This window comes from Homo sapiens, chromosome 10 (assembly GCF_000001405.40).
Source record: "Homo sapiens chromosome 10, GRCh38.p14 Primary Assembly".
Taxonomy (NCBI): domain Eukaryota; kingdom Metazoa; phylum Chordata; class Mammalia; order Primates; family Hominidae; genus Homo; species Homo sapiens.
The window spans coordinates 38,452,282-38,462,249 of record NC_000010.11 but is presented as its reverse complement, the minus strand read 5'-3'; the positions used below and the strand labels follow the sequence as shown (position 1 = coordinate 38,462,249).

The 9,968-nt window shown below is 44.7% G+C and overlaps 2 pseudogenes; one reads left to right on the top strand and one right to left on the bottom strand.

Moving 5' to 3' along the window:
- On the bottom strand, window positions 1,984-4,571 carry SEPTIN14P10 (septin 14 pseudogene 10; annotated as a pseudogene).
- On the top strand, window positions 6,411-8,243 carry CICP9 (capicua transcriptional repressor pseudogene 9; annotated as a pseudogene).

Genomic DNA, 9,968 nt, shown 5'->3' with positions numbered 1-9,968 from the left:
CAGCCTGAGAATTTGGCAAAACTCTGTCTCTATAAAAAATACAAAAATTAGCCAAGTTTGGTGGCATGTGCCTGTAGTACCAGCTACTTGGGAGGCTGAGGTGGAAGAATAGCTTGAGTCTGGGAGGTCAAGGCTGCAATGAGCTGTGATCGCACCACTGCACTCATGCCTGGGTGGTAGAGTAAGACCCTGTCTCAAAAAAAAAAAAAAAAGAAAGAAAACTCACTAAGCAAAATAAGACATGTGAAGGATCATGTCAAAGGTAAGAAAAATTAGGGGAACATTAAAAGCTTTCTTCCCAAGCCACTAAATCAACTTGACTAACAAAATTACCACTTGATTTAGCATTAGAAAATTACATTACATATCAAACATAAACCCATTAATCAAACACTAAAGAAATTTCTGAGTTAAATGGTATAATGTTAGCTTATGCCAGAGCTGACCTTGAAAGATTGTTCAAATATGGCTCAGTGTGATTGAAAGTTCTGTGTGAATATGTTTTTGGAAAGATCCAACAGCAACACCTTAGTGTATGTTTCTGAAATAAAATGTATCTGAGTAGCAGCAAAGTTATTCTCAAATTTCCATTTTATAGCTGGAGATGTTATACCGTGACATATATGATAGGACCCAATATGGATTAATCCCTTTTAGAAGTCAATCAGGAAGAGGGGAGTAGTTAAAACAGTTGCTTGGTTTACAAACAGTAGAACAATTTTCTTATTCACACCATCTGATTATTGTATTTTATTTTTTCCCCAATGTTTAGACTACACAATGAGTTAAGAATGATAAAAATAAGCTCACCAATATACTATGTACATATTTACTAAAATCTGTGCATGCCTATACATATAAACACAGCTGATAATTTGTTAGGCTCATTTGTAATTTTTGTCACTATAGGCCAGTTTTTTATTTAAATTGAAGATTAGTATACATTTTAAATGATTAGTCAAAATAAAAAATCTAAAATGTGCTCTAAATACCTCCTAGGTAAGAAAAAAAAAAGTCAAAACTAGAATATAGAGAAATTAAGAAATGCCCTAAATTTCTAATCTGACAAAAATTCATACAAGATTTAAATATTTTAATGGAAAATAGAACAGAACTAATCATTGAAGAAATTATAGAAAGGAAACAAAATAAACAGATTATATGGAGGATTTTTAGAAGATAAGTAAATAAATTAATATACTAGGAAAAAACAAGGGAAATATAATTGATAAATAAATACAGGTAAGAGTTCTTTTGAAATAATGATAAAATAGAAAATCTCTGTCAAAACTAAAAGGAAAGATGCATAAATATATAAATAAATGATAAAAAGATGTTGCATACATATATGACTTTTTCAGAATCAAAAAATTTAAATTTCTGTAATAAAATTTAAATGTTTATAAATTTAAAAAACTAGAAGAATGTTGACTGTTCACAATACAAATAAATGACAAATATTTGAGGTGATGGATATGCTAATTATCCTTATTTGATCATTGGACATTGTATACATGTATCAAAATATCACTCTGTATCCCATGAATATGTACAAATACTTGTCTCAAACACAAACAAAAAAAAGATAATGGGAGAATGTTGAAAACTCAGAGAGAAGAGCAACTCTCACAGATAGGGATCCAGATAACATTAGCAGCTGATTTCTCGGCAGAAACCTTGAAGGCCAGTAGGCAGTGGATTATATATTTAAAATAATGAAGAAACCTGTCAATTGAGAAATCTATAGCTGGAAAACTTATCCTTCAAAAATGAGGAAGAAATTAAGACATTTCTGGATTTTTTTTTAAAACTGAAAAAAAATCCATTTATCCCTGAATTTGCCATTCAAGAAGTGTTAAGTCCTTCAGGTTGAAATAAATGAACTCTAGGCAATAACTATATAAATAAGCAAGCTGTATGAATATACAAAGCTCTCTGGTAAAGGTAAATACATAAACAAATATAAAAACAGTCCTATTATAATTTTGGTTTGTAACTCTGCTTTTTATTTTCTACATAATTTAAAAGGCAAATGCATAAAATGTAATTGTAAATCTGTTAGCTGGTATACAATGAATAAAGATATAATTTGTTACATCAATAACATAAAAAGAGTAGAGCTATATATATAGCAGTAGAATTTTGGTATGTGATTGAACTTAAGTTGAAATAAATTCAAATTAAAATGTTATAACTCTAGGATGTTATATGTAATTCTCATAGTAACCAAAAATGAAATATACATAGAATATAAACAAAAGGAAATGAGACTAGAAACAAGATGTGTCACTACAAAAAAATCAACTAAAGATAAAAAAGAAATAATTGAGAAAATGATAGGCAAAAATCAGTAACTCTGACGTATTAAAACTTTCCATGCTACATAAATCTGAAAACTCTATTTCACATAAAACTGGAGCTGAAAGAGACAAATATTTACCTATAAAGTTAAAAGTTATATAGGGAACAAACACTAATTTTTTTTTAGAAAAAATTATAAAAAGAGTAAAAATATGCCTTATACTACCCTAATTTCATGTTTTACAGCTCTGGGAAAATAGAAAATAAAATGTTCTGTTAGCATGAATACCTCTGTGCCCCCAAAAAACCCTATGGATTGCATCATTATTACCTAAAAAGTCTATTCTCAAATGCAGCAGAGTGATATTTTTTACAGGGTAGATATTAATTTTAGATATGGAATAATATTGGTGATTTCAATTTTATAACACTGGGTTAAGATGAAAGAATGAGAAGATAAAGGTCCCTCAGCAATATAACTCACAAACATGTTCAGAAGCAGTAAGAAGTTACATTAATTATCTTTTGAAAGTCGATAATCTACATCTTTAATGTATGCATATAGCATAGGTAATGTACTATCGCTGGGTCCATTTATTCAATGAATAATTGCCGCTATGTGTCAGACATTTTTCTAGGCCTAGGAATAGATACATAAGTGAACAAAGCAAAGATTCTGGTTCTTGTAGAGTTTCCATTAAAAGACCATTTAGTAAAACTTTTCTTCCCCCAAATTATAAAATCTGTAAGATGACTTAACAACTTGTGTAAAAGTCATTGTGGGCCAGGCACAGTGGCTCATACCAGGTGTGGTGACTCATAGCACTCTGTCACCCAGGCTGGAGTGCAGTGGCACAATCTCTGCTCACTGCAACCTCTGCCTCCTGGGTACAAGCGATTCTCCTGCCTCAGCTTTCTGAGTAGCAAGGACTACAGGTGCACACCATCACGCCTGGCTAATTTTTGTACTATTAGTACAGACGGAGTTTCACCATGTTGGCCAGGCTGGTCTTGAACTCCTGACCTCAAATGATCTGCCCACCTCGGCCTCCCAAAGTGCTGGAATTACAGATGTGAGCCACAATGCCCGGCCTTATTTTCTACAACTTTGGTAACTTTAGCATATACCCCAAATCTGTAAGACATAATATTATAATTCAAACGCAACTCATGGCTTCTCATTGTACTCTTTCTCTAGCTTTTGAATTATTTATTCTAATACCAGTTTTAATTCTGACACAAAAGCATGGGAGTTCTAATCAAAATCCAACCTTTTATCATAAAAACTATGAAGAAATTATGAGTAGAATTTAAAAAGGAAAATAGGCCTATTAATTAGATTTGTCTTTGTAGCATTTAACTCTATAATAAATAACATAATATTTTATGCCTATGAGTCCCAACAAAGCCTCCAGCTTCTATTTAGATATAAAATGTAAAAGTCACTACTGGATCCACAAGCAAGACTATGGTAAAGAAATTTCTCCACCTAACCATCTTCTTTTACATGATGTTACATATTTCTTTTGTTTTTTCATTTTGGCAAATATTGATTGTCATCTTCGTGTTTGTCTATGTCCTAAGTGCTGGGATACAGAATCTGAAAAGATGGACACAGGACCTGCCTTCAAGTTCACCCTTTTTTTTTTTTTTTTTGAGATGGAGTTTTGCTCTTGTCACCCAGGCTGGAGTGTAATGGTGAGATCTCTGCTCACTGCAACCTCCACCTCCAGGGTTCAAGTGATTCTCCTGCCTCAGCCTCCCAAGTAGCTGGGATTGCAGGTCCCAGCCACCACGCCTAGCTAATTTTTGTATTTTTAGTAGAGACAGCGTTTCATCATGTTGGTCAGGCTGGTCTCGAACTCCTAACCTCAGGTAGTCGACCCATCTTGGCCTCCCACAGTGCTGAGATTACAGGCATGAGCCACCACGCCCTGCTAGGAGTTCACGCTTTAGTTGGGGAAAATATACAATAAGCAAGCCAATTTTTAAAATGAGAACTGCAATTAGAGTTAAATGCTACAAAGACAATCTCACAGGAAGATGGGATGTAGAATGATAAGGCTCTCAGAATAGTAAGAGAAACTATTGCTTCTTACGATGTTTGTCTTTCTTTGTATCAGTGCTCAGCTGAGTCTGCAGTGCTTCAGAGGCAGCTTTCATTTTATAAAAATCTATGATTTCTCCTTCCAGTTGTTTTTTCTCTTCCTCGAGCTTCCTTATCTCCTCCTGTTGAATCATTTTAAGATGCTCGAACTTGTCCTCCAGCTTGAAACCAATGTGCAGTTGTGACACCAAAGCAGTGTGGCTGAACACCCAAAAGAATATGCTTTTTTCTGATTATCAAACAAACCCAAATCATCACAGTAGAGCACGATCTTAATAGCAATCTCAAAAACTCAGGAGTAAACATTCAGATATGGAATTTTTCTTTTCTTTTTTCCTTTTATAAGATGGAGTCTCACTCTGTTGCCCAGGCTGGAGTGCACTGGTGCAATCTCAGCTCACTGCAACCTCCATCTCCCAGTTCAAGTGATTCTCCTGCCTCAGCCTCTTGAGTAGCTGAGACTACAGGCATGCACCACCACTACAGGCGTGTGCCACCACACCTGGCTAATTTTTGTATTTTTAGTAGAGATGGGGTTTTGCCATGTTGGCCAGGCTGGTCTCGAACTCCTGACCTCAGGTGATCCTCCCGCTTTGGCCTCCCAAAGACTTTTTTTTTTTTAAATATAGAGACAAGTTCTCAGTATGTTGCCCAGGCTGGTCTCAAACTCCTGAGCTCAAGTGATCCTCCCACCTCAGCTTCCCAAAGTGCTGGGACTGACTGGATGCAGTGGCTCATGCTTGTAAACTCAGCACTTTGGGAGGCCAAGGTGGGAGGATCGCTTGAGCCCAGGAGTTCAAGACCAGACTGGGTGATATAACACAATAGTAAACTTCAACAGGAGAGAGAATCTGTAAACTTGAATATAGATCTTCTGAAATTATCCAGTCAGAGGACAAAGAAAAAAAGAATAAAAAAGAGAAAAGAAGGCTGGGCGTGGTGGCTCAAGCCTGTAATCCCAACACTTTGGGAGGCCAAGGCAGGAAGATTAAGAGGTCAGGAGTTCAAGACCAGCCTGGCCAACATGACAAAACCCCATCTCTACTAAAAATACAAAAATTAGCCGGGTGTGGTGGCACACACCTGTAGTCCCAGCTACTTGGGAGGCTGAGGCAGGAGAATCGCTTGAACCCAGGAGGCGGAGGTTGGAGTGCAATGTGAGCCGAGACCACACATTGCACTCCAGCCTGGGTGACAGAGCACGACTCTGTCTCAAAAAAAAAAAAAAAGAAAAAAAAAGACAGAGAAAAGAAAGCCAACAAGACACCATTAGGCAAACCATTGTCAGGTTATGGGAGTTTGAGAAGGAAAGTAGACAAAGGAAAAGAAAGCTTATTTAAAGAATGGCTGAAAACTGCCTAAATCATGGGAAAGATTTAGACATCTAAATCCATGAAGCTTAAAGATTCCTAAAGAGGTTCAAACCAAATAGATACTCACCAAGTCACAATATAATCAAATAGTCAAAAGTTAAAGAAACTTTGCAGGTCAGGACAGAATCGAATAATACATTCAAAGTGCTGAAAGAAAAAAACTGCCAGCAACTAATACTATGTCTGACAAAGCTGTCCTTCAGAAAGAAAGAAGAACTAATGTGTTTCCTCGACAAACAAAGCTGAAGGCATTCAGGACCACTAGGTCTACCTTAAAAAAATGCTTAACGGAGTTTTTCAAGTAAAAATGAATGAAGTTGGGAGCGGTGGCTCATGCCTGTAATCCCATTTTGGGAGGCCGAGGTGGGTGGATCACCTGAGGATGGGAGGTCAAGACCAGCCTGGCCAACATGGCAAAACCCCACCTCCAGTAAAAATACAAAAAACTAGCCAGGTATGAAGGCCACTGAGATCGTGCCACTGCACTCCAGCCTGGGTGAAAAGAGTCAAACTACATTTCAAAAACAAAAAACAAAACAAAAAAAAAATAAAACTTGAGGCCTGGCCTTCTGCTCCTCTCCAACCCCCCCTTCTCTGGGCCCAAGCCACCTTGGCTGAGGAGGGGGCGAGGAGGTGTGAGCCCCTGCCAGGAACCCCCTGCCCGGACCAAGTACTCGGCCCCCAGGCCTGCGTTCAGTGAGGCCTCCCGTGGCCTCAGCATGTTTGTGTGGAGGAATGTGGAAGGTCACTCTGTGGCCGTGTTCCCCTGGTACTCCATCCCCTTCCTGACCCCTCCCTGCAGCCACACGAGGCCCAGCAACCTGCCAGTCACTCAGTGGCCTCCAACCAGAGAAAACAACCTGCCAAGTTGGCAGCTGTTGCTCATGAGCATCCACCAGGTGGGACGGGGAGTGTTGACCCTGGGTGGCTCCCTGGAGCCACCTGCCCTGAAAGCCCAGGGCCCGCAACCCCACACATTTTGGGGGTGGTGGAACCTGGTAAAAGCTCACCTCCCACCATGGAGGAGGAGCCCTGGGCCCCTCAGGGGAGTCCCTGCTGTACAGTGAGACAGAGAATGACCATGATGATGCTTTCCTCTCCATCATGTCTCCTGACACCCAGTTGCCTCTACCACTCAGATGATGTCAGGCCCAGTCCCTCAGTGCCCTGCGCAAGGAACAGGACTCATCTTCTGAGAAGGATGGACGCAGCCCCAACAAATGGGACAAGGACCACATCCAGTGGCCCATGAGTGGCGGTCATGATCTTCAGCAAGCGGCACCAGGCCCTGGCAGGGCACACCAGGGTCACCCCAACCAGGATAACCGGACTGTCAGCCAGATGCTGAACGAGTGGTGGTACACCCTGGGGCCCAATGAGACACAGAAATACCACGACCTGGCCTTCCAGGTGAAGGTGGCCCACTTGCAACAAGGACCGAAAGAAGTCCAGCTCAGAGGCCAAGCTCACAAGCCAGGGGCTAGCAGGAGTGTAACAAGGGCTCGTGGGAGTGGAGCATATCAGAGACGGGCACTGCCACTGCCCCTGGGGTGTCCTCTGAATTCCTGTCAGTTGCAGCCCAAACACTCCAGAGCTCGGATACCAAGGAGCAGCTTCTGTGGGGCAGAACGGCTGCACACAGTCAGGGAACCTAGCTCAGCCTGGCCCAAGCCTTCTCCCACAGGGGGGTACACAGCCTGGATGGCAGGGAAATAGATCATCAGGCACTACAGGAACTGACACAGGTGGTGTCTGGCAATGCATCATACTCTGGCCCAAAGCCTTCTACTCAGTATGGAGCTCCAGGCCACTTTGCAGCCCCTGGTGAGGGAGGTGACCAGTGGGCAGCCCTGCTGCTGCCCACCTGAGCTGCTCATTCCCAGCACATGGCCAGTGAGGACATAGCGAGTGATGAGGCGCACACGATCATCCATGAGGAGGAGGGGGTGATGATGTCATTGCTGATGATGGCTTTAGCACCACTGACACCGATCTCAAGTTCAAGGAGTGAGTGACCGACAGAGTGGGGACAACTCTGGGGAGGAGCCACAGGGCAACAAGGGCTTTGGTGGGAAGGTATTTGCACCTGTCATTCCTTCCTCCTTTACTCCTGCTGCCCCTTGCTGGATCCTGAGCCCCCAGGGTCCCCCGATCCACCTGCAGCTTTTGGCAAAGTCTATGGTCCCACCCTGTCCTCCTCCTACACATACTCGGATGCTTCCTCCTCAACCTTGGCACCCACCTCCTTCTTACTGGGCCCGGGAGCCTTCGAAGCCCAGGAGTCTGGTCAAGGCAGCAGAGTGGGCCCCCTACGGCCCCTACCCCTGGGGATGGGGGCCCAGGGATGCCTTCCAAGGCGACCTGTTTCCTCCCAATGGATCCCGCCACCTTCTGGTGCAAGAGACCTGAAAGTGTGGGCGACCTGGAGCTACCAGGCTCCTCAGTCATCAGGGTCCCTCCCAACACTAAGGCTTTCCTAGGCAGGAGCTGGGCTGAGCCACCCGGGGGGCAGATCCTGAAGAGAAACTGACTGGTCTTTCGGGGTCGGGGCAGAGGGAACCCCACGGACATGGATCCCACACTGGAAGACCCCACCACGCCCAAACGCAAGATGAGAAGATGCTCCAGCTGCAGCCCAAAGCCCAACACCCCCAAGTGTGCCATGTGTGATGGGGACAGCTTCCCCTTTGCCTGTACAGGTGGAGAAGCCGAGGACAGGCTCAGGGAACCGGAGACCGAGAAGGCACTGTCCTCTTCACTGCACGCGCCCTGGACCAGTGCCGGCCCTGATCATGCAGCTCTTCCAGGCCCACTGCTTCTTCCTGTCCACTAGGCCACAGCCACCCTCCAGGCCCACTATGCACACATCTTCCACTCCAAGGTTTGTTCTGCCCCTGCCCTGACTCCCAGCCCTGTGGGGGTCCTGACCGGACCTCACCTGGCTCAGACTTTTGACGCTGCCGTGGCTGCCCCACCACTGTCTCTGCCCGAGAGTCACATGAGGCTGAGAGTAGGGGCAGGGGCAGCAGTGGTGCCAGTTGGGGGGCGGTCCAGTGGGAGGAGCCTCAGCCTCGCGGGCTGCTCCGTGGGACTGATGACTGCATGATCTTCTGGGCACCTCACGGATCTTCAACTGCAGGTGAAACGGATGCTGGTGGTGGCTGCAGGGCCGCTGGGAGCCACTGCATGGTTCCCAGAGGCTGGACTGGGGCAGGTGCCAACTGAAGCTGCTGGGGCAGCATGGGCAGGATATTCTGCACACAAACCTTGGAGAAGATGATGTGTGCATAGCGGGTCCACTGCTGCTGCCCCTGCCCTGACTCCCAGCCCTGCCTGACCCCACCTCACCCTGCTCAGGCTCTGGGGCAACCCTGGCTGCCCTGCCACTGCCTCTGCCCCAGAGTTGGGGCCTTGACAGCCTGGTTGGAAGGGGACACCCCAGCCCTGCCTCAACACCTGGGGGTCTCCATAACTACCACAGGCACGTGGCTGACCCGAAAGAAGATCCCAGGACTCACAGTACCCCCTGAGAACATGGACAGTATGTGGGGGTAGCAATGGAGGGCAGGATGGTTATCTTCTCCCAGGTAAAGAGTTTAGGACGGAATAAGGCCTGCCTCTTTTTTTTTTTTTTTTTGAGACCGAGTCTTGCTCTGTCGCCCAGGCTGGAGTGCAGTGGTGCGATCTTGGCTCACTGCAACCTCTTCCCGCCGGGTTCACGCCATTCTCCTGCCTCAGCCTTCCGGGTAGCTAGGATTACAGGTGCACGCTACCACGTCCGGCTAATTTTTGTATTTTTAGTACAGACGGGGCTTCATCATCTTGGCCAGGCTGATTTCGATCTCCTGACATCGTGATCCACCTGCCTCCACCTCCCAAAGTGTTGGGATTACAGGCGTGAGCCACCACGCCTGGCCAAGGCCTGCTCCTCTTATCTATACCCCCTACCCCTGCAGCTGTGCCGGGGGAAAACTGGGCAGTTTCCCTCCTCTGAGCCCCTGTACATACCATGAATTGTGGGACCTTCAGAGCTTTTCACTTTTCGGAAAATAGCTCCTGCTGGGGCTACAAGATGGAGTGTGAAGAGGGCCTTGGGCCACATGGAGGCGCCTGTGGACTAGGGGGAGTTCATGCACCCCTTCTTTCCCCAGAGGGGCTGGACTCAGGTGAGTATGGGGGTGGGGGCT